The sequence below is a fragment of the Homo sapiens genome, chromosome 20 (assembly GCF_000001405.40).
Source record: "Homo sapiens chromosome 20, GRCh38.p14 Primary Assembly".
Lineage (NCBI taxonomy): Eukaryota > Metazoa > Chordata > Mammalia > Primates > Hominidae > Homo > Homo sapiens.
This window is the reverse complement of record NC_000020.11, coordinates 42,170,260-42,196,128: the sequence shown is the minus strand read 5'-3', so window position 1 is coordinate 42,196,128 and position 25,869 is coordinate 42,170,260. Positions and strand designations below refer to the sequence as shown.

The following is a 25,869-nucleotide window of genomic DNA, read 5'->3' as shown; positions in this document are numbered from 1 at the left end:
TTAAAAGCAAAATGATTATGGCCAAAACTTCTTGACAATCATTGTGACCCTGAAATTTTAGATATTGGTTCTCAATCTTTCTGATCTCAAATGCAAACCTGGGTAATACTGATTTCTTATGTTTCAAAGGATAACATTGTCACTGTTCGCTATGGGCCAAAACTTAGACCCTTAAGATGAAAACACCCAAGACTGAAATAGTTTAACTTGCCATAAAGGAAGAGGAGAAATATCCAGTGAAATCTAATTAGATGTTTTAAAGGCCAGGGACAAACTTTTCAAATGATTAAGGTGTGTATGTATGTGTGTGCATATGTGTTTTATATTTACACAGACACGTAAATATACAGAGAGAGGTATAAACCTACACAGTCATATATACACAAATATACATATATGACTGTATATATGCATTCATCATAACAATATTGCTTTCTAAAATATTTAAATAATGATTGACTTATTATACTCAATTATTAGAAAATTCTGCATTAGTCTGAATCACTGAATACGTTAGGACTCTCTATGCATCTGACGTCCTCAGGCTACAGCTACAAAAACACTCTCAGGATCTTTTGACTGCCCTAGAATGCATCAGGTACCTTTAAAATGCCCTGTGGAACCACTGGGATGAGATTTGAGGGGGAAAAATGTAAGTAATGCTTACACTGGAGATGAGAAATTGCTTCTGAAATCACCCTGATGTATGTAGAATTGAATCTATTTTTGTGGCATTAGGGAAGTGACTGTCTGGCCTCTGAATCGGTGTCTTTAGGAGGCCCTGAGATTATGTACAAATGTTGAGGCAGCATTGAGAGGTAGGGCACAGAATAGTTGTTACATTGCAAAAGATTACAGAAGAACGTGCCTTGAGCAATTATTTCATTATTGACCAGGTAGGCCCTAGCCTAATTCAAATTCTACCTGTCCCTGCATAGGTTTATTTTCTGGGGTTTTCTTTTTTCTTTTTTTTATTATGCTTTAAGTTTTAGGGTACATGTGCACAACGTGCAGGTTAGTTACATATGTATACATGTACCATGTTGGTGTGCTGCACCCAGTAACTCGTCATTTAACATTAGGTGTATCTCCAAATGCTATCCCTCCCCCATCCCCCACCCCACAACAGGCCCCGGTGTGTGATGTTTCCCTTCCTGTGTCCATGTGTTCTCACTATTCAATTTCCACCTATGAGTGAGAACATGCGGTGTTTGATTTTTCTATTTCAAGTGACTGCTAAGTTCTGTGACATCTATTCAATCAAACCTTCTAATATTGTATAGGAACAATGACCTCCAGGGCTCTAGGGTGATGGGGCTTTGTCAGATATGGGCCATTGCTTTGGAGTGCCTTGGTATTCTTGAAAAAGGAGTACGTGTCACATTTCAAGGACAAACAACGTGCATTGTTTTCCATTTAGAGAAATGCTAGCTTTTATTAAGTAATCTGATTTTGATCTTACTGCCCTGTGTACTTGTTATTTTTCTCTGCGATCTTTTGCTCACTGGGATCATTTTCTGGGTCTTTCTTCTGGTGCTTAAATCTTCTTCTTTATCTCTTTTGTTCACATGTCATCTTCTTGTTCATTTTCAGTCCAAACAAAAATGCTTCAAAATAAATTCCTTTTGAATTCCTGTGATATGGGGACTTGGTAGTCTGCTCTTCCCATAATGGCATTTGACAGATTAACTTGCCTACTGGGTACCATGAGTTAACTCCGTCCTGATTTTTATGCTTTCCCTCTATTGAATTATTCCATGTCTGGAAGGTAAAGGCAGTCCTTCTCTAAGGGTCATCAGACAGACACTGGGCCATCTAGCTCTCTGCTAAGTGTCACCTTGGAGCTGGGATTTAATGGACTTTTTCTCAGTACATGCCTACCCCTGTGCTGTAAGCCATGTGGCACGGTCTGGGGAGAGAGGTAGTTTCAAAGATGAATAAAATGAGGTATTATATCACAAATAATACATGGTTCTACTTGTAAGCCTTTCATAGTTTACGAAGTCTTTCTGCAAAACGCTCCACTGCAGCAATAGTTCCTTATTCCTGTAGGAATAAGGTAGCTAGTAGGTTTTTAATTATTCCCATTCTACAGATGAGGAAACTGAGGTTCAGAGAGCTTTCATGGCCCAAATCATACATATATTGCAGAGTCGTAATGAGAATACATCTCTCCTGATTTCAGTTAGAGTCTATCCATCTCATTCTGCAAAGAATTTGGGGATATATCCAATAAAAGAACCTACAATTTAAAAAATAGTGAGAAAAATAATCAGTATCAGGAAAATGTGAAGGTCAGGACCAGGATATATTGAAATATAACTATATTACATTAAAATGTAATCTAAAATATGCGCTCTGATAATTTTAAATTCCACTTTGGCTCTGGGATTTCTAGTAGAAAATGCCCAAAGAAGAAGATAACTTTTATTGGGCACCTACTATGTGCTAAAACTTATGCTTTATATAAATTCCACTCTGAAGCTCCCAAGGAACCCTATCATTAGATATTATTCCTATTTTGTGAATGAGAAAATTGAGCTTCAGAGAACTGAAGTAAATAAGCCCAAAGTCACACAATGAAGAAAGAGTAGGGATAGAATTAGAAGCAAATAAGGCTCTCTGACTCCTAAATCAGTGTTCCTTCTCCTCTACTGTGGATGGTAGCCCAACATTCACCAGTCTCACAGAGGAAGGTCACTGACAGCCGGGAGAAAGGGAGAACTTCACTTCCTTACTGATAGGTCAGCTGGCTTTTCTACCATGTGGGCAGAAGCTGCTGCCACAGCTGTTTTCTGAACAGAGGCCTGGGGCCAGGTACTGGCATGGAGCCTAGCAGATTCCCACAAGGTGCCAGGTACTATGATAAGCATGCTCAAATATGGAGTCTTAGTCATTCTCTCAGTAACCCTGTATAGTCCATATGATTATTATCGAATTCATTTTGCAGTTGAGGAAACTGATGCTCTCAGATATTAAAAGATCTTCTTGAAGTCATATGACAAATAGATAATGGGCCCTGGACCCCAGAGCAGATATTCTACTTTCAAAACCAAGCAACTTTGTCTTTCCTTTGACCTTTAGCGGTCTCTCTACCATGAAGGCGAGTGAAGGAGAGACAGGAAATCAAGGTGAAATAGACTTTCTGGCTGGGAGAACAGTGCTTCTTACTGGTTCCTCTATTCCCTGAAACTCCTGCCTCAGGAAGGCAGCTGCCAAGTGGATGTACGCACAGACAGGTTCTGCCGGAATCATCCTACTAGGACCCTCTTAGGAAAGTGGGACTGCAGACCAGTAGTCCCATCCTTACGCATCCCAAAGCTAGACCAATCCCTGGGTAGTTATAGAGAGAGAGGAGCAAAGAATGGCCCCTGCCTAACAGAGAGCTTGCAGCCTGGCAGTGGAGACAAATGGTTCAAGAAAGAGAACCTTTGTTACAGGACTTTGTGCAATGGAAGCCTACACGAAGAGCCACAGGACCCTTTCCCTGACTTTGTACCTCCCAACATGACCAAAATATACCAGGCAGCCAGCACACAGTCACCTTAAGAGGTATTTTCTGCCAAAGAGGAGGGTGGACCCTGAAACCTGATATTCTTCCTGTTCTTTACCACACAGACCTCATAAAAGGGTTTCTTTGTGGGCAGTTCAGAGAATGTTCAGGCTTGGTACTCCCTTGGGATGGTTCAGTAGAGATGAGGCAGGCAGAAGGAAGTACCAGGCAAAATTTTAGCCAGATTATTTTAGGAACATGTTATATAACTAAAGCAATTCAAATAGGGAAGACGGATCATGGCTTTTAAAACAATAGAGGCTGGCTGGGGTGGTGGTAAACTCTTTGTAAAGATTCCTTAACCCTTTCAGGAAAATGGCCAGCTGGCTGGGAAATGGGTCTCTGGGAAAACTGGCCTGACCCTGATCTTCTCTGGCAAAAACTCTTGACTTGATGGTGTGTGATGTCAAGGATTGCTACATTTGCTTGGGACTCTCTCTGGGTCAGTCATTTTGCTAGGTGCTGTTCACATATTGTCTCTGATCCTCAAAACAATGCAACCAGTTAGGAATCATTATCTTGATTTCATAAATGGCATAATTGATGACCCCAAGCTAAGAGCTGTATTAAACACTGCATCCTAAATCCCCCACCCCTCATTGTTGTTGATCAGTACATAATGACAGTTGCCCAACTCTCTGGCCCATCAGATACTCATTGAGTACTTGTTTGAATATATGAATGAATGAATGATGGAGCTGGAATTCACACTCAGATCTAGTTCCAAGCCCAGACCTGGTTCCATCTTTTCTCATAATGTATTCTCTCTTCAATTAAGCCAAAATCTGTCCTCTGTAACTTCATTCATTCCTGCTTTTGTACACAACCATGTATTAGTCAGCAACCACGTGCTGGCCTTTGTCTGCCCTCTGGTGTCACACAGGGTAATGGAATCAGTGCTTCTCTTCCTGCAGCACCCACACCCTCCCCAGCTATTTGACTGCAGCTACCTCTGTGCCCAGGTCCTTCCCTCAGGCTAAACAGTCACTGCATCAGCCATCAGCCCTCCTCGGAATAAATTTCTGTTTTTCAGTCTGCTCAAAATCTCTTTTGACCCTTCTGTCTCCATTTGGTCCATGCCCACGGAATGTGTGGTTTCCAAGACAACCATGACCCTCTACATTGGGCTGAGTCACTGGGAGTTCAGAGAGCTACCATCACCCTCACTCTGATCCTAAACCTGGGTTTAAAATATATCACTCATGTTTTAATTAACCTCTAAATATTCATCACGTGACTGCCTAATGTAGAAATCATGGCTTCCAGCTAGGGCTGCCTCAGTCAGCCCAGATGAAGATGACTTTTGGGGCCCAAATCAAAGATTTTACATTTTGTCTGTTCTGTTTCTTGTTAGGTTTGACCCTGCTTGCCAAGCCTACAGGGCTATTTTTTTTTTTTTTATTTCTGGTTGTGTCAGCCAATCACTTAATCCTCCTAGTCTGGGGCCTTGAAATGTAGGAATTACTACATTGTTAATATTTATGATCCTAGTTATTATATACAGAGCATTAATTATATGCCCATTTACGTGCTGAGTGTTTTATATTGTATAAGCATTCTTATCTCATTGGTATGGTGGGAAAATTAAGTAAGTGTTATGATTATACCTGATAATTTAAAGGTGAGGAAACAGGCTTTAAAATAGTAAGGAATTTGCCTAAGGCTTTGTAGCTTTAAATGGCAGAGCTGGAACTCAAACCTAGGTCAGCCTGACACCCCGAGGCCCTTAGTCCAAGACTACTCCTCCATGCTGCCTTCTGTAGATGTTATTATTCCCATTTCATAGACAAGGAAACTTAAGGCCACAGACACTGAGTCATCTGCTCAAAGCAGTGGTTCTTGAAGCATGATCTCCAGAACAGCAGCATCAGCATCTCCTGGGAACTTGTTACAAGCAAATTCTCAGGCCCTACCTCAGACCTACTGAACCCAAAACTCTAGGGTTAGGGCCAAGCAATCAGTTTTTAACAAGCCTTCCAGGTGATTCAGAGAATCACTAGCTCAAAGTAATGCCCAGGACTGTCAGACTCAAGCCCTTCTTCTTTATTTGCAAAGCTGTCTTTCATGATAGTAGAATTATGGCCTCTCTGGGAGAGGAAGGCTCTAGCTCACCTCCCTGGGTAGATGAACTAAGAGGTTATTGCCATAGGAGTACTGGACCTGAAGGGTGCTAAAGCCCATTAATAGTTATGAGGGTCCCCGAATCTGGGAATCTCAACCGTATCTTTGATTTTGTCTCCTTTTGTCTGAACAGTGAACAATCTAAGAGTCAGGATGGAAGGAGTGGAAATTTACAAGGAAAAGCAATGATGAGTCACACACTGAAATCGAGAGCTCAACAGAGCATTGTGAAAAAGAACTCAAAGATGCAAAAATCCTGTTTGCAGGAACAATTATATTTTCAGGTTGCTCCAAGATTAAATTGAATCTGGGAGAAGAATTGAATGTTACAAGCTTGCCCCCTCCAGTTTTATTGAATATCTTACAGGAATTATTGAATATTTTGCAATCATCCACTTAGCTGACAGATTAAAGGACACACTTATTAAGTTCCTGGCAACCCAAAGTTGAATGGAATTGTTTATTCCTTAGCAGTTACAAAATGGAAATTTAGGCAGCCTTGAGAAAGTTGACCAATTTTCCATCACAAACACTAAGGAGTTAAATTAAGACAAGTTTTAGAGAAGAATATTAGACTCAAAAAAGATATAATAGTTATACATAATCAAACTAAAACTAAAAATTACCTTAGATGTTATTGATCCAAACTTCTCATCTTAAAAATGAACATTTGAGTTGCAGAGAGTTTTCCCAAGATCACTCAATGAGTCACAAGTAGAACCAGCTAGAATTGGGCCCGTGGCCTTTAATTAGGGACACGACCGTTCTAGTTTTGTCCCACGGTACCCTTCAAAGGAATGAAGTACAGTCAACAATGGTTTGTCTTCTATGTAATATTTTCTGTAGACTCCTAATCTGATTTCTGCATAAATAGAACCTTCTCAAATTGAATTATACTTTTCATCTCCTGGTTATGGGAGTAGCTGAGGTGTTCCTTTAAATATTCAATGAATGCCGACTCTATGCCAAGCATTTTAGGGATTGTAAAGATAAATAAGACATGGTCTCTGCCTCCAATGATATTACTGTCCTCTAAGAGGAGAGTTGTAAGTGGATTAGTTTCAATAAATGTGATAAATGATAGAGAAAAGGTGTGTATAGTGTCCCAGAAACACTGATCAGACACCCAGCAAGTGATTAATTCTGGCTAAGTGATTTGGAAAATACGATGTAAGGAGATGGATTTTGATTTGAAAATAGTGCAAGAGAACAGATTGACCCAGGTGGAAGGGGCAAAAGCTTGGAAATATGAGGTGTGAGGTCTGGTGGACTCAGAGAAGTGGGTTTGAAGTCCAAGATACTCTGTGTCAAGAATGTATGGCCAGAGACGAAGCTGGAATGGTAGCTGGAGCCTCCTTGGAAAGGACTTCACATTTGTGTCCCATTTAAATTCACTTTCCAGGAAGGGTAACCTGCTTGGGAATTGGAGTGATCCCAGTGTCAGCTGTCCTTGTGTGATTTTGGAACCCAGCTTCATATGCTCTTTGAGTTGTATAGATCCAGCTTTCTATTGTAGATAAGCAGAGTGCATTTTATCAGTTACAGACCTTCACTGTCATTGTCAGCTGGCCCAAGCATTCCTCAATACACTTTCAAAGAGACCTCAGTAAAGTTACAAGGCTGAAGTTGCTTTTTGACAATTTATCCTAGGCCACTACATCTTGAGAAGAAAATAGAATTGTTCTCTACACCTCACAGGTGGTCTTGAATTATAACAGAGCACTTAAAAAGTGCTTGTTAAAGTAATCAGGGATAAAGAAGTGATGTTGACGATGTAAATATATAGTTGCTAGGTAGCAGAATAAACTGAGCTTAGAGACCAATTTCCCCCCCTCTGCTCAAAGCTACAGACTTGATGAGTTGAAAACATAGATAATAATTCTACTAGCTAACATTTTGTGAGTAATTGCTGGACAAAGCACTTTCTATGCCTCATTTCATTTAATATTCTCAACAATGCTATGAGGCATGTTATGGAAACTGAGGCTCAGAGAACTTAAGTAACTTGCTCAAGGTCACATAGCTACCGAGAAACCAAGCCCAGGGCTTGAACCTAGTTTCACATGATGGACCTATCACGCAGCCCCTCCTTCTGGAAACATTTTCTTTGCTTGACTTTTGCTCTCCTTGTGTTTTGCCTTCCTCCCCAGCCATTTCTTCTCATTCTTCTTTACTGGTTCTGTACTTGCTCCCAACCTCTAATCATTGAAGTGTCCCCGGCCTTAGCCCTGAAGCTCTTCCTTTCTGCTCATACTCACTCTAGGTAGGTGGTGATGATGCCAAATGAGATAGCACAGGAAGGGGCCAGATTTGAAGCAGAAGAGGGGGACATTTACATCTAGGCCAATCGATTTGAGGTGTTATTGAGTCATGGAAGAGATGCCAGGTTGGCAGTGGACTCTGGGGCCTGGAGCTCAACAGAGGAGCCTGGCCTGGGGATATAAATGTTCACTGCATTTTGTATACAATGTGATTGGAGACTTTGCCATGAATAGGGAAACTGCGGCCCACAGAGGTGAAACTCATTGCCTAGGATCACTCAGCAAGTTAATGGAAGAACCAGAACTTTGAGCCAAGACTTACATATAGGAGGACCTATAGAAAAGCCATCAGTTAAAGCTCAGGGTATAACATCAAAACAGTGGGCTATAAATGGGGCTGTGTAAATGTGGTCCAAGTGCAGAGCATTCTGGAAATCACCTGGATCCTGGGATGGAACTCAGAATGTGTGAAGGAGCTGATGGATTAGAAGACCCCATCAATATCTACTCAGCTGGATTGTGATAGGATCTCTACATTCAAAGTAGAAGTTTACGGCAAGAACCTGAGGTCTGGTTTATGTATTAATGGTTGGGAGTGGATCTAGGAAAGTCAATGGAAGAGCCATAGGGCGGACTATCACAAAGATTGAAAAGCTGCATGTGAGGTAGTAGAAGGAAATAGCAAAGGGCCAAGGATGGGCAAAGCCCCTATGCTCAGTGCATCACCATTTCCATAATTCTCTGGGTTGCTTCCTACATAATTTTGAAAAGGGTTCCATGATGTTTAGTTACTCAGCACCGGTTGACTTTTAGTGAGATGCTCTTAACTAGGTGGAAAGAACTGCCCACCCCACCAGACATCAAACACATCTCAAATCTACACTCACCTGTAGAATAGACAGATGTTAAGTGAGCACAAGATTCCACTAACCAAAATAATAACCATTAGTAGCATAAGAAATGGCATTTCTACTCTCAAAAAGCCCATGAAATAGGGAACACAGATAATAGTTATATGACTTGGTATGCCCAGTAGAGGTGTGTGTAGAAGCTGCCAAGAGAATGTTGTCCAGTGAGGGTGGGGGAGCTGTCGTGATCCATTAACCTGTGATTCATCTCTGTTCAGATGATTTACTTTTCACCTTACCAATCATATGAGTTGATATCCTAATTATATGGGGCTGAAAATGAAATAAAACTTCAATTCCCCTTAATAGCAAGGATACATTCAGGAGAGATGTAACATAGATTAATCTTGACACGTTCCTCTCTCTCACCTCCCACATCGAGTTCAACACCAAGTTTTGATGAGTCTACATCTTCGATATATCTAGAATCCATCTATTTTCCTCTATATCCACTACCTCCATCCTTGTCCAAGTCATCATCATCTCTTACCTGAATAAGATCCACAACTCCTAAATAATCCTCATATCCATCCGTGTCATTCTGTAGTCTATTTTTTCATAGGAGCCAGGGAGACCTTTTCAAGGCAAATCTAAACACGTTGTACCACTCATCCCTGGGTTAAAACAATTCTTTTGCTTCTGATTGTTTATAAGCTAAAGATCAAAGTCCCCATCCTGACTTCACATACAGGTCTTGTCCTTCTGACCTTCCCCAGGCTCTCTCATCTCACTTCCCCTTTCTCTGTGAGCTCCGTGACACCATAATCTTCTCACAGTACTTAAACTTTGTCACACTCCTTCTACCACAGGACCTTTGACTGTGCTATTGCTAGACAGAGCAATGGCATGGTCAAAGGTCCTGTGGTAGAAGGAATGTGGGGTGGAAGTGTGGTAGAAGGAATGTGGTAGAAGGAGCGTGGGATGGGAGGCCCATAGGCCAAATCCAGTGCACTCTGTCTTTATTAGAATAAAGCTTTATTAGAACACAACCATGCTTATTTGTTCATGCATTTCCTATGGTTGCTTTTGTACTACAATGGTAGAGTTGAGTAGTTGCCACAGAGACCACCTAGCCCACAAAGCCTAAAATATTTACTCTCTGGTCTTTGACAGAAATGTTTTCCAACTCCTCATCTAGATCACTGGCTATACCCATGCTTTTCTCCTAATTGATTCCTTTAGACCTCCATTCTTACATTTCTTCCTTTCCTGACCCCCTTCTCCCTTCACCAGATTGGATTTCTTTTGTTAGGTGCTATGACAGAATTGTATTCCACCTTTTTTCTCAGCAACAACTGCGGTTTGCAAATGTGTTTAAGACTTGACCCCTCTACTAGATGGGAAGCTGAAGAAAGGAGGACCATGTTTTTGTTTACTACTGTATCCTCAGCAGAGTGCCTGACCCCTCTGTTAGATGGCAAGCTCGAGAGGGAAGGACCATTTATTTTCTGCTTATTACTGTATCCTCAACATGTGGCACAGCATGTGGCACAGAATGAATACCTGAAACTCTTGTTGACAGATGGGTAGATGAATAGTTGGATAAACAGACAAGACTTAGGTATATAAATCCTATATACTCAGAGAAAACTAAAAGGAATATTTAGAAAGCTCAGTACAACTGACATCACACACTATTGTCCTGTTTTCAGCGTTCAGAATTGAATAAAGGTGGATAAAGAAATCAAGGGATGATGCTTTGCCAGTCAGATGCTATCTGGATCTTAGCCTCTCTCCCACTCCTGCCATCACCCACTGTAGCCAACACTGAAGGGAATTTTACAAAGCCCTTTTTATGGTTCCTACAAAACCAGAAGCTGCTGCTCAAAATATCCTCAAGAAGTCAACCATTTGGATCTGGGAATCTGATACAATTAGTCCTTCAATCATAGGAATAGGAAGAGAAATCAGCTGGTGATCTTCAGACCACATACAAATATAGGCAGAGATTCAGATAGGCTACTATATGGCCCTCCCGATGGAAGAACCAAGAAAAATAGTAAAGGAAAGAAGCATATATAACAACAGATGTGATTCTTGATTGGATGGATGACCCTACAGGTAGCCATGGGGACAACAGTATTCTGAGGAGGTTCTGGGAGATGATGGGCACCTGTTACATGGGTTTAATCTATGTGGTCATGGATACCTGGCTTTTCCACACCACTTGTCCTGGCAGCCAAGATGTTTCTCTAGTTATTGAAACTCCGAAGTAAAAACTGTGAGGTAAAAAGGAAGATATTTGGACCATGCTGGTTTTCTAGGTGAGAGGAAGCCACGATGAGTTGATAGGATATCAAATTCTTCTAGGTGAGAAGCAGCCAGGATGAGTTTAATACCAGCAGGAATGAGCTGGGTGCAGTGACTCATGCCTGTAATCCCAACATTTTGGGAGGCCAAGGTGGGTGGATCACCTGAGGTCAGAAGTTCGAGACCACTCTAGCTAACATGGCGAAACCCCATCTCTGGTAAAAATACAAAAAAAAAAAAATTAGCCGGGTGTGGTGGTGCATGCCTGTAATCCCACCTACTCAGGAGGCTGAGGCAGGAGAATCACTTGAACCCAGGAGGTGGAGGTTACAGTGAACCGAGATCATGCCACTGCACTCCAACCTGGGCAACAGAGTGAAACTCTATCGAGAGAGAGAGAGAGAAGGAGAAGAAGGAGGAGAAGAAGAAGAAGAAGAAGAGGAAGAAGAAGAAGAAGAAGAAGAAGAAGAAGAATAAGAAGAAGAAGAAGAAGAGGAAGAGGAAGAAGAAGAAGAAGGAGGAGGAGGAGGAGGAAGGGGGGAGGAAGGAGGGAAGAAAGGAAGGAGTGGGGAGGGGAGGGAAGAAGGAAGGGAGGGAGGGAAAGCAAAGGAAAGGAAAGGAAAGAAATACCAGCAGGAAATAGAATCCTTAAGGTACTTCAAGGTGATCAAAGAAAACATCATAGAGAAGTTGAATCTTAAACACTGTGTGGTCAGAATTAGTCAATGCAGAAAAGAAGAAATAAGTGACATGGTGTAACACACCATATCACAACTTAACAGTGTAAAACAACAACCATTGTATTTGGCTTCTAATTCTTTGGGCCAGGAGTTTGGATAGGTTACAACAGGGATAGCTTGTGTCTGCTTGAAAATGGGGAGCCTCAGCTGGGATGACTTGAATGGCTGGAGATGACTGTGACAGCTCTTGTAGGACAACATGTCTGGGACCTCAGTTCTTCCTTAGGTGGCATCTGTCAGGGATGGAAGGCCCAAATGCCTCCCTCATTTGCATATTCAACCCCTATGCTAAAATGACTGTAACATCTAGGGTAGGCTGGAATCACTCTCTCCCTATACATCTACCTTAGGCTTCCTAGCAACAGGACAGACTCATGGTAATTGTACTTCTTGCATGATAGCTGTCTTCCCCCAGAGCAAGTGTTTGAGAAAGCCAGGAGAAATGCTAGTCCTCCTAAAAACTAGGCTCAGAACTAGCCAGCTTCACTTCTGCTGTGTATCATTATTAAAAGCAGTCACATATTAGCCTAAATTTAAGGGAGTAGAGGAGCAGACTCAACCCTTCTATAGGAAAAATGGCATATGCATATAGGAAGAGAAGGAATCAATTGTGGTCATCCTGGTAACAAGCTATGACATTATTCTAAAATAAAAGAATACATATACAGGGGCATAGAGGTGGGAAAGTCTACTTGGCTAATATAGTCAATAATAGGAATATTTTCAAAACCTCCATTTTCCACTTGGATTAGCGTGATAATTCTGCTATTACAAGCAAGTAGTTTTGTGGTCTCTGCACATTTTACAAATCTATAGCTTTTGCTCTCTTGTACAATTCCTTGTGAGTATAAATGTATTCCCTAACATCCAGAGTCCAAAAGACATCAGTAATGTTAACTTCTTCCTATATCCTGAAAGACAGGGTGAAGGGCAGGGGACGGTGTTAGCGTCTCTGTCCATGGTGTTGGTCTTCCTTGCTGTTAGGTTCCCAGGAAGACCCTTCCTTATGTTGCACTTAAAATTATAAGTGGATTGGCTTCTCTGTAGTACTTGAAATATTAGAACCATAGGATTAAGTGGTAAAAGATGAACCTGAAGAGGTAAGCAGGAACTGGGGTCTCGAATACTAGGGAGTTTGAAATGTATTATGTTTCTGCAAGGAGCTAACATAGATTTTAAGAAGTAGAAAGGAAGGATTGAGTCGGTTTTAGAAAGATCATCTTGGTGATAGTGAGGTAAAAGTTTTGGAGAGTGGGAGTGGATAAAGCTTTAAGTAAGTATTGTTTCTGCCTATATCAGACTTCAAGGAAAGTGACAGCACAAAATGCTGGTGCACATGGAAATCTGATTACACACACACACACACACACACACACACACACACACACCCCTGCTTGTAGGATTAACAGTCACTACAACCCAACGGGTATGGCCAACTCTCTGTAATGAAGCAATGGTAGAGAGAAGGTGTTCTACGGCATTCCATTCTTGAAACCATTTTTAAGCCGAGTGTATTGACTAGATCTCCCTGCTTGCTCCATATTGTATTGATTAGTCAGTATTTTGAGGGTGTGATACCTGGAAATTTTTGGACATGTTTGACTTTGAAATGAGTGTTCTTATTCAGTTAATGTCTCATGGGACCAGTTGAGTTTTTCCAAGGTGAAACCTTTTATCTTCAGGATCTTTGATCTAGGTTAGATGAAATTCCCACTGATGTACAGACATGACAGAGGCTCAGAACATAGGAGTCATTCCAAACTAACAGTCACTTCTGTCTCTTCTGCAGTGGAGACCCAAATGGTCATCCAGTGAATCTTCAGCCAGCTGTGTTCTAGCAAATACACACACTTGCAAATCTGGTCCCTGTCACCCTCTCTGTAACCCTTCTTATTCTATCCCATCATTCTCCTTTCATATTGATCCATCAGCAGAAGTATACCAATAACTCACTATCTTTGTTATGCTTTATTTATGAAATAGCCATTTGCCTAGCGTGTTCTTCAATTTTAAAAAACAAACTCACAATGCCACTGCTCAACCAAAAATCCGTTATTGGCTTCCCATTGCCCTCCAGATGAAGTAAAAATTAACCTCGTGGCCTACAAGGCTCAGAATGACATGACTTCTGTCAGCATCTTTAGTCTCATCTCTGGCTACTCTCTGTCTTGCTCAATATACTCCAGTCATATTGACCTCCTTCCTATTCTTTGAAAACACTAAGCATTTCCCAAAATATGGCTTTCACAATTCTGTTTGCTCTTTCCAGAACAGTCTTCCACTCTATATTTCACTGTTTAGCCACTTTTTATCCTTCAGGTCTATGATTAAATGTCTTCTTTTGAGGGATTCCCTAAATTGTCTATCTAAACAGTGGCCACTTGTTGTTTTTTTTTAATTTTACTACATTCTAGTCCCTCTTAGCATGTGTCAGAAATTTCTTGTATGCAAATGTTTATTCATTTAATAATTTTTTGGCTAATGTCTGTCATCTTCACCAGACTTTTAAACCATGATTGCATAGACAACTTCTGTCCGGGCTTCTACTATATCCCTGGAGACTAGTATGGTGCTTGGCCTATGAATACGATTGAGTGGTATTTGTTGAATGAATCATTATGCTAATTTTAAGTCAGGATAGATCACAATGGTTCACTTTCACTATTCAGTATTCAGTCAACTGATCTTATGCATTGCTGGGACAATGAGGACCTGCAGACATAGCGATGACTAGGGTTACTCTTAGATTTTAATCCCATAGAGGAAGGTTGAGGGAGGAGGACAAGGGAGGGGACCATTGCACTAGTCTGGGAGAGATATATGGTGCACTTTGCACCTCCATTTCTTAGAAAGTCCTAATCCTTGTATCTTTGTCCTAGTCATCAGTTCTAAAGGCCCCATCACCAAATACTGGCTTCCTTGGACTCTCTACCACTCAGTGTAGCCCTGGAAAACAGAGGGAACACTCTTCAGACCCACTTTGTGTCCCCTACTGCCCCTACCCTTGTGATCTCCCCTCTCTCCTCCAGAGGGCTCTAGGCTTCTAGCCTTTTACACTTCCCCAGTCACAGCTTACTCTTCTCCAATTTCATGCCCTTGTGAGCCTTCCCAATATCTGGCATAATCTGAAAAGTCAATTTACTCTTATGTATTAAGGGATGTATCATATTGTATTTAAATGGGAAAGTACAAGAAACTAATATTTATTGAGCCCTAACTGTGTGCCAAGGACTATGCTAGATGCTGTGCATACGTTATATCATTTAATCCTTAAAACCTATGAGTTGATGATTATTGTTGGTACTAGGCTTCTTTCACACATGTGGAGATTGAGGTTCAGGGAGATTAAATAACTTGCTCAAGGTCACATAGCTATTAGTAGTAGAGCTAGGATTTAAACTTAATCTTTCTCTTGCATATGATCCTACTACTATAATGTACTCCCTCCCGAATAGTGAGAAATATGCGGACACCTCTGAAGCCACTAAGTAAGAGGATGGCATACTGGGACAGTGGTGTCTTAAAATCAGAGGATATAGGCTCTTGTTTACTCCACTGATTTCTAAGATTGCACTACTCTCTTCAGAGGTTAGAGTGTAACAAGCTTCTGAACATGCTGCCACTCATTTATTCAACAAGGTTTGTTGAGCACCTACTATGTGCCTGACATATTATGCACTTTTAATATACATCAGTGAAGAATACAGAAATTAAAAATTCCCTGTCTTTCTAGAGCTTACATTCCATTGATGGTAGGAAGTGGAAAGAGAGACAGGAAATAAGCAATGGACAGCAAAAGATAAGTACATTATATGATATGACATAATAACAAGTGAGGGTGCACTGAAACAATAGAACATGCTGAATGGGATCAGGAGTCATAAGTGGAGGAGGATTGCAGTTTTATAGAAGATGACATCTGACTAAAGACTTTAAAAAGGTAACAGATGTGAGCCATGTCAGGAAAGAGTGTCTCTATTAGAGGCTCCCAAGGCAAGCATGTGCCTGATATGTGGAAGCTAGAACCCTGTTCCAGCTGTAAAGGTCAGTCAAAACCAGTGGAACCCATAAGAAATATGGACTTCTCCTCTAAATTTAGATCCTTTCAGAAGGTACCATTGTAAATTAAATGGGTTGAAACCATGGTGCTTCCAAAAAATAGTGAAGACCCTTGTGCCTATGAGAGCTGAGTCTCACCACTAGCCTAGCCTTCTGGGGTAAGGAGAAAACTCTGTAATCTTTGACTTCCTTGTTTATGACAAAACACGTCTATCTGCAGGAATCTTCCCGGAGCCACCGCATCCAGGATCTGTCCTTGGTGCTGACCCTGATCTTCTTTAGCTCAAGATGATCTAGCATTGATTTCTGCATCTTCTTGCCCATTGCTGGGTTCTGCTATTACTACAGCTGGCTATACTTGGCTATTCCATGCCTTTCTTTAGGCTAGTCACCCATACTATCATCATGGTGATTGCTCCAGCCCCCCAGATTCCGGTACACCTACCCCATTCAGACTTAGTCCCTTGGCCCTGCTTGGCAAAGAGCCCAGTGTAATACTGTTAAGGATGTTAGCTGGCACAGTCACTTCTGTCATTGTTTTCTGAAAGCATCATTGCTTTTTCAACTGACCCTAAATGTGGTGAGGGTTTAGTCACCATTCCAAATCATTTATTTAGCATGAAAATTTATTAGTTAGGCCATTGTTTAGCAAATTCATCACATTATATTTTTTACTTAGCATTATCACTTAATTAGCGTTTTATTACTGGAATTGGCTGTCAATTATGTGGCTAATTCATTGTCTTAGGGAATGGATTTTTTATCTGCGTAAAGCAATTGAAAGTACATTGTTAACTCTTTAACGATTAAAGATTGTTGTCAATGGCAATTCATGTGATAAGGAAAATTAAACCATTTACTTTCCTTGAAAAATCAGATCTTGGAAAACTCTTTGGAAAAGTGTAAAGAGGGTACTTTAGAAGCTTTCATGAATTAAAAAACTTTTATTAAGTGAATGCCTTGGAATACTTGGCAAAGCTAAGCAAAGTCAGCTGGAAGATTTTGACTGGACTCCTTGGAATGAATTATTATAATATACTCTCATATGTGTATATTTAAATGTTCTTTCATCGACATTACCTCTTTTGGTTCTCACAAAAACATTGCAGAATGATATTAGGATTTGTGGTTGGCAAACTTTAAGATGGCCCCAATGATCCCTGCCTCCTATGCCACATTCTTATATAACGCCCTTCCTCATTGCAGCCAAGATCTAGTGACTGGCTTCCAATGAATAGGATATGATAAAGTGATGAGATGTCCCTTTCAAGATTTGTCTTTAAGAAGACTGTGGCTTTTATCTTGGGTGCTCTCTCTCACTCCCACTTGTCTGTTCCTTGGGAAGCTAGCTACTATATTGTAAGTTGACCTATTGGCAAGAAATCGAGGGAGATGCCCAGCCAACAGCCAGCAAGGAACTGAGTCCCATACTGCAGTAGCCCATGAAAAAATGAATCTGTCAGTATCATGTCAGTGATTATGAAATCAGTTAACTTGAATTCTCTCCCAGCTGAGTCTTCAGATGAGATCATTACCACAGCGGTCAGCTTGAGTGCAACCTCACAAAAGACCTTGAGCCAGAGATACACATCTAGGCTGCAACCAGATTTCTATCTGCAGAAACTGAGATCGTATATGTTTGTTATTTTAAGCTGCTGTGGTTGGGGGTAGTTTGTCAAGTAGCAGTGGATAACTAATACATGGCTTAACATGTGAGATGTTAATTAATTTGCCCAAAGCCTTTGACTAATAAGTAGTAGAGCCAGGATTTAACCCTGGTTCTTCTGATGCATTTCAATAGACAAGAAGATAGGAATTACAGTCCAGACCTCTCATTGCAGCTGCCAGGGATCCTCAAAGCTTTGACATCCCATAAGGGCAACTATTCAGGGACTGTTTCCCTGTAACATTGACTCCCTTATGACTTGCACACCTTTATTACTATGAGAATCACTAGGATTCTTCAGAGGCTGGCAAGCAGGCTTGAAAAACAGATCTTCTGGCTGGGCACGGTGGCTCTCGCTTGTAATCCCAGCACTTTGGGAGGCCGAGGTGGGTGGATCACAAGGTCAGGAGTTCGAGAACAGCCTGGCCAACACAGTGAAATCTTATCTCTACTAAAAATACAAAAATTAGCCGGGTGTGGTGGCAGGTGCCTGTTATCCCAGCTACTTGGGAGGCTGAGGCAGGAGAGTCGCTTGAACCCAGGTGGCAGAGGTTGCACTGAGCCAAGATCATGCCACTGCACTCTAGCCTGGGCGAAAGAGCTAGACTCCATGAAAGAAAGAAAAGAAAAGAAGGAAGGAAAGAAGGAAGGAGAGAGAAAGAGAGAGAGAAAGGAAAGAAAGAAAAAAGAGAGAGAGGAAGGGAAGGGGAGGGGAGGGAAGGGAGAAGAGAAGGAGGGAGACAGACAGACAGAAAGATCTTTACCATGTTCCCAATAAGGAATTGGGTCAAACTTACCATTCTTCTTCCCTAGGTGCTATCCTGCCCCCCCATAAAATGGTTATAACAGTAGTTCCCAAAACATGACTGGCCCCAAACTAAAGCCACTAAATCCTTATGTCTAGAATATGGAGCAAAGGAATCTATATTTAGTATGTTCTTTGAATGACTCTTGTACGGTACTAGCATTTGGAATCTACTATATAAAACAAAGTAGTTTGGCATTTCAGTGATCAGCCTCTATAATTCAGCACCTGAGGATCAGCCAGGCTGAACCTTGATGGGGACACACTGCTTTATTCATTCTTATGAGAGTGTTAGGTATCTGTTCTTTCCAGGGTTAAGGCCATCAGATTTAATTAGTTGCATTTTTTGGTTGGTTTTGAACAATACTAAGCTGTACTACTTCATTCATTCAGTAAGAGCAGAAAGAATAATGTTTGCTTTTTTAAGAGAAATTCCAGGACCTTTAAAGAACACATTGTATCTTTTAACTGGAAGCTCCCTTAGAGACCACCTAATCCCTCACTACTCAAGGTGTGGTCCATGGACCAGCATCATCAGCATCACCTGAGAGCTTGTTACAAATGCAGGCTCTCAGGCCACACTTCAGCCCACTGTATTAGAATCTGCCTATAGAAGATCTCTAGATATGTACATTACACCTTGAGAAGCATTGGTCTAATTCAGCTGCCTGGTTTTAAAATTAAGGTCCACAAAGGTGAAGGTAATTGTGCAAGATAATTTAGTGGTAACACCAGGATGAAAACTCAGGTCTTGTAACTCCCAAACTGTGTTCTTTCCATTGTCTTAATGTCCCGTTGTCTTTGTAGTTCATAATATCCACAAACTCAGCCTAAATATCCAGGGCATAGTTTGAAATGGAGAAAGGAAGCTTTTATCCACCCACAACAATGGCAAACTCTTTCAAACATCTGTTGCACATTTAAATTTCATCTTTCAGACAAGTTTAGTTATTTCATTTTCTCTTTCTTGCACATCAACAAAAGACAAAGTCACCTGTCAGGCTGAAGATTGTAAAAACCTGTCAAAATTGAGTTTTTCTAGTTTAGCTAAGTATTACTCTGCAACTATTTTGCATTCCTTAGTCTTATTATAATTTTTATGAATGAGAGATAGAAAATAGGAGCAGTCTGTATTTTCAGTGTGAGGCATTACTTAGTCTTTTCCTTCTATCACACATCTTCCCATAAGTGTGCAGGTTATGGAGTTTGGTGATATATACATAATACAAAATTCTGGGCCAGTTGTTTTCAGTGCACATACAACCCTGGAGCCAATGAGAAACTCCAAATCATGTCCAGTCCCCTGGAGCCACAGTGAAGCTGAACATTTTCACTCTGAGAGAAGAGCTTCGGATCTGAGTGTAGTTAAAATCACCAGAAGCCCATCAGGAGAAGATATGCATTTTGAGTAAATGTGGCTTATCAACCTCCCCACACTCACCAAGGCAAATGGAACTGAGGCAGGAAATAGAGATCATGATATCCTCACCAAAAGAATTAGAAGACATGACAGATGAACCTTGAAGATAAACAAACATTGTATTTATCAACAAGGTGGAGGGTGGATTTCAGAGAGCAAGGTGTACCTAACAAATGAGTGTTTCCAGAGTAGGCACTAGATTCTGGAGATACACGAGTAAACAACACAGATATGATACCTGTCTTCATGGAGCTTACAGTCCGGTGAAGGATAAGATACTAATCTCACTATTATTCAATAACTATAGTAATTCATGAAGACGATGTATGTTCAGGAATATACATATATTGTAATTCATGAAAATGATACTGTTAGGATATAACATGGGACCCTCAGATGGGGATGGAGGCAGACAGAGATGTCTTCCTTGATATCTTCATTCAGAAAAGTTAAAATACTTTTAGTGACCAGTCATCCCCTAGATTCTACTATTAACATTTTACTATATTTATTTTATTACCTATCTTCCCATCTATCCATCCTTCAATCCATCTTAATTTTTATGCATATCAAAGGAAATTTTAGACATCACTACACTTCCCTTTCCTCCCAATATTTAACTGTACACATCATTAATGCCGACTCAAGAGTCTGGTTTTTTCCTTTGAGATAAAATTTACTTGCAAAAAAACACAGAAATCTTAGGTTTTCCATTTTATGAGTTCAACAATTGCATACACTTTGCAACCCAGCCCCCTAGTAATATACAGACTTGCCAGGAAGATCCCTCATGCCCATTCCCAGCCATCCCCTGCCCCTACTCAACCCAATTGGTAACCACCATTCATTCATACCACAGATGGGTTTGTTTATTCTAGAGGAGGAATTGACTTGAGCTGAGTGCTGAAGGATGAATAGGAGTCCACGTGGCCTTGGAAGTTTGGGGGAAAAGTTATAAACACTCCAGGAGAATAGCACGTCCTGTACAGATTCTCAGGTGGGCGAGAATTCAGTGAGGAGACAGTGTGGCTGCAGCCTAGAGGGGAAAGGACAGAGAGACACAAGATGAGGCAAATGAGATTGGTGAGAGCTAGACCAATCATAGCCTTGAAGCCATATTAAATATCTTAAATCTGGAACATAGCCAAAGGACAGTGGGCATCCAATAAAAAGTTTGAGCAGGGAGGTGACATGCTCAGCTTTGGCCTTTGAAAAAGTTCTCATGCCTTATTTTGGAGAAAAGAACATGGAGAAGGAAGAGGGGATTCAAGGAGTTGTAAGGATGTTGTTTCAGCCACTATGGATAGGGAAAGAGAGGGGCAGCAGATTTGAGGATCCTGGCCATGGAGAGAAATGACTATCTCTTCTTCTGTTGTATTAACCTCTGATGTGTTGAACTTCTAACAATTATAACCTCTGATGTGTTGAGCTTCTAACAATTATAAATCAGTGCTTGATTTTCTCTTTCTATCTCCAGTTTTCAGAGATACTAGCCATAAAGGCTTTGCAGAAACTGGTTCAGAGAGATTGAGTAACTTGCCCAAAATCACACAGGCAGTAGGTGATGGTGTCAGGGTTCTCACTCAGCCCTATTCATGTCCAAAGTCTGTACGTGTTAGACCACTACCCTGTCTTCAGAGAGTATTGTGTGAGCCTCTCAGTCTTTCCTATTGGACTTGCCGTTTTCCTCAATATATCAGATTCTTCAAACACTCTAGAATTTTCAAGGCAGAAGACTGTCCGAGTTGCTGGCAGTCCCTGTCAACACAGGGCCCCACTTTGAGGATAAGTTCACCTGCCCAAGTTTTCCTTTAAGTGATGGTTTGAGAATAGGGGCAGGTGAGTCCACATGGATCTATCAATACCGGGTTTTATTTATGCTGGTAGTGGCTCTGTGAAACACAGAACTGACATGCAGAGTCGCTTTCCATTTCTTGTGCTTGCTGCCTCAATCAATCCCTTTATCTATAACTCAGATCCTTCCTCATTTAATCCCAGTCTTTCCTTCCATATAAACTCCTCTCAAATGCCACACCCTTATCACTCCCTTCATGCTTGCAAGAATATTAAAACTGTGTGATTTACCTTTCTTTATTATTTATGCTTTGAGTAACTTACTGACCAAGACATGTTCTTCTAAGTTCTTTTGCATATGCTATTTATCTTAACAAGCCATAGTCACATGCAGAACTTCTTACTGAAAGCATGAAGTAACTTTCCAATAATATTAATCTTTCTAACACTAAGCCACCTTACAGTTTCATCTACTTTAATATACTTCATTCTCTTCTGAAAAATAATACACTCTCTGGGAATCCATTCTTTGCCAACCAATATTTGTACTCTACTTTATCATCAGTTTATAAAATTCTTTAGGCGTATATTTCAATGTCTATTTATGGGTTATTCTTCTACCGGTCAAAGTTCAGCATTTTTTAAGGCCATTATTTTCAACAACAAGTGTCTCTGAAAGTATAAATGGATGGTGAATATGCAAGAATTAAATAATCAACCTACATGTTACCAAAAAGGGCTTATATTTCCAGTGAGTTAAAAGACTTAAAAAGTCCATAATTATATCCCTTCTTCTTTGTGGTGCAACAAAATACTTCCAGGATTCCATGCACGCCCCTCAGCTTTATTCCCTCACTTCCTAGTTTGATCACTAAGTGGTTAAGGCCAGCCACAGAGAATCCCTATCACTACTAAACATCTGTTGCTCTGGCAAACTCAACGACCTTTCATTTTTTTTCCAAATGTATTGTTTATACAACCTATGCTGTGGAACACTGGTATCAGCATTTTTGCTGCCTCTTTCCTCACTGATTTTGATAGAATTTTGACAAAAAGAAAAAAATTATTTTGAAAGTTTTTTAAAAAATAGTGAAACCCTTTTTTGAACAAAATTATACCTAGATGTTTATTTTCTAAAACAGATAAAAAGCCATTTATATCTGGTTGGAGAAGAGGTAAGGGAAAACTCACATGCTTGCCAGGATACACACACTCCCCACACACATGACATGCACAAAACCCTTTATTGTGGCCCAGTTCACTCCAGACACATAGAAGAATCTCTGAACAGAGGTCTCCTTTCCTAACTCTGCCTCAGCTCTTAGGGAACTAAGTCCATAGACTGATGCTTTGCTTATTGCTTCCTCTCTAGACCAGATGGGTGAAACTTTCCACTTGATTTACTCAAAATGAAAATAATAACCGCTAGTCACTGGAACAAGTCAAGATTGATGGCCCTTGTAGATCACAAGAGCAAGGCCGTCAAAGGAATGACACCCTCTAAAATTGAACAGTGCACAGCATGTATGACCAGCCACATATTGTGGTCCTGTGGAAGCCTGGATTAAAGGAGCATCAGGAAAGATGGGATCCCAGTTTGTCGATCCCTAGCGGAGTTTGGCATTTCACTGAGAGACAATTCTTTTCATTATTGCTGCAGTCTCCCAGAATCTAGTAACCAGGTCTTAGTGTAGAAAGAAGAAACTCAGCGCTAGTGTTCCATTGCATGAGAGGTCCTTGTGATGTAACCATTTCTGCATCTTGACTGTGATGGTGGTCACACAGGTCTACACATGGGATAAAATTGCATAAATTAAACATACACACAAGCGCATGTAAAACTAATGAAATCTGAATAAGATCAGTAACATATATGTCAATTTTCTGGTTATAATATTGTACTATAGTTACACAAGTGTTAACATTGGGGAAAACTGGGTGAAGGGTATTTAAGACCCGTTTATGTTATTTCTTACGATTGCATGTGAATCTGTAATGATCTCAAAATATGACTTCTTTTTTAAAAAGCTAGCACCCAGGTGATGGGCTGGTGTTTACCAGCTGACCCTGACCACGTCCATCAGAGTCTTGAGATGTGTCTCAGGGCTTCTCTGGTCATTAATCATTCTCCAGTCTAAGCCTGGGCTAAAAATGTTCTGTCAGTCTCTAACAACTGTGAAGTGGCTTATTTGTGTCTTTTTTCCTTAATCATTTTTTGGCAGAGGTTTGTCTAATTTGTTGGTGTTTTCAAAGGAAAGAGCCAGCTTTTGCTGTTTTTTTTCAGCTCCTCTGCTGTATCTTTAACTTGTGTTATGTTCCATGTCTGTTCTTATATACATATTTACTTTCTTTCTATTTTCAATGACTATGTTTTTTTATCTCAAGAAGTTGAATGTATATTTTTCAAACCCACCTATCCTTTTTCTGTCATGTGTGCATTATTGCAATGGTTCATATTCCTTCTTTTTTCTCTTTAATCAATCTAAATGTATTTACTTAATAGTCTCTTTGATTGTTTTATTATTTTCAATTCTTGAGAGGTGTATTTTTCTGTGTATGATGACTTCTGACTCTCTCCTATGGGGATAAGATTCCTTACAAGGCTCTTGTCATTCTTTATAATTTATTTTTTACTATGAGTTCGTCTTTAGTGGAGGCAGTTTTGTTCTGTGGGAATTAATGTGCCTTGGATTATGAAAATACCTCTACAGGATGATTTCTCATTTGCTTGTCAGGACAGTGTAGTTTTCAGTGGTATTACACAGTTTTTTTAATGTTGATTTCTATGTTGGCAGGTGCTTCTATCAAACAAGTAACAAAATTTGGATGCCAGATGCACTTGTACTAGAAGTCAGGGTTTTCTTTTGTTTTGTTTTTTTATCTCTATTTGAATCCTGTTCATTCTTCTTGTTATGCTAGTAGTTGATGCCTTAAACACACACACGCACACATGCACACCTCTACAGTACCCTGTACAGTACATACACATTCGCTTAAAATTGTGTTCTTCAATTAAGAGTGTCAGGATTGAAATAGTACACATTGAATATCCATTATGAAAGGTGAAGAAGATAATATACTTTTATTCCTAGTGATGTATCAGTCACCCACTTCCTGGTTTTTGTTAATACAATTGGAAATTTTAGCCAAGAATTTTTATATTAGATTTTTAAATCTGATTTCTCTTTAAGCATTACCTCTTATAGTTCATTCTGTTTTGATTCACATTTATTGTGATTTTTACACTCATATCTGTGTTTACCAAATCAACTTTTTTTATAACAAGACTTCTTCCATTCTTGTGGATGTTTTTTTCTCTATTTCTGGACTCACATCCTTGACTAGCTTTATCAGCTACCCAACCCTCTGGAAAAGAATCAGAGCCAACATAACTTCTTATTCTTTATGTGTCAGGGAATGCCTTTCTGTAGCTTCGCAAATGAAAAACTATTTACTGTATAATTTTTTAGCCACATCATTTTTACTTGAAAAATTTTGTTTCATTGTTTTCTGGAATTTAAATTTGGGCAAGAAAATGTATGAGTAACGTAGTTTCTGATTTTTTATACATAGCCATTTTCCAGCCTAGATGTTTATCTGAGTATTTCTACATCAATAATATTTAAACAATTGTATCAGAATATAGGCTCTATTTTTAAGTTGTAGGTGGAGAACTCTTTACACGTGAAGATTTAAGTTTTTATTTTGCCAATGAGTTGTTTTAATATTGTGTCCTGATAAGAAAGGACACATAATGTGCTTCTGTTCCATTTATTCTGTTCTTCTGTAACAGCAATTATGTCTTTTATATGTTTGTTTTCTTTTCTCTAAAAATGTCTTTTTGTTCCCTTCACACATGAACACACATGAGCAGATGATATATACAAAGGAAATATACATTGTATTGTTCTGCTTTCCTTGCGTTTTAATTTCCAAGTTTTTCAAATTAATTCTCCACAAGCCTGTTGCTTATTCTCATTACAGATTCCAGTGCCCATTTTAATTCTGGTATTGCATTTTGGTTTCTTTACAATTGTTTCTTACCTCACCCAGTAAATATTTTTTCTAGCTACTTCTTAACTTGATCTATTTTGGGAAAAGTCTGTTGTCTTAGTCTTATTATTTCACCTTTAATTTCCTTTATTCTTCTATCTTTTCTCGCATTTCGTTTTCAATAAACTTCAAGGAACCTAAAATGCACTTCTACTTTCTGTTGTTTAGATTAAGATACCAGTAACAGAAAAAAAATGAATAAAAATGGCTTAAGCAGCAAGTTAATGTATTATCTTCTA

The 25,869-nt window shown here is 40.0% G+C and overlaps 1 protein-coding gene across 11 annotated transcripts in view, besides 1 other annotated feature; it reads left to right on the top strand.

The window, feature by feature from the left end:
• PTPRT (protein tyrosine phosphatase receptor type T) overlaps nucleotides 1-25,869 on the top strand; it is a 1,158,017-nt gene that overhangs the window by 993,778 nt on the left and 138,370 nt on the right. The gene's annotated exons all lie outside the window — the stretch shown is intronic.
• Nucleotides 16,063-16,263: a silencer, noted in NCBI's record as "peak4219 fragment used in MPRA reporter construct". NCBI's record gives its function as "represses an SCP1 promoter by STARR-seq MPRAs in K562 erythroleukemia cells {active_cell/tissue: K562}" and the evidence as "EXISTENCE:reporter gene assay evidence [ECO:0000049][PMID:32103011]".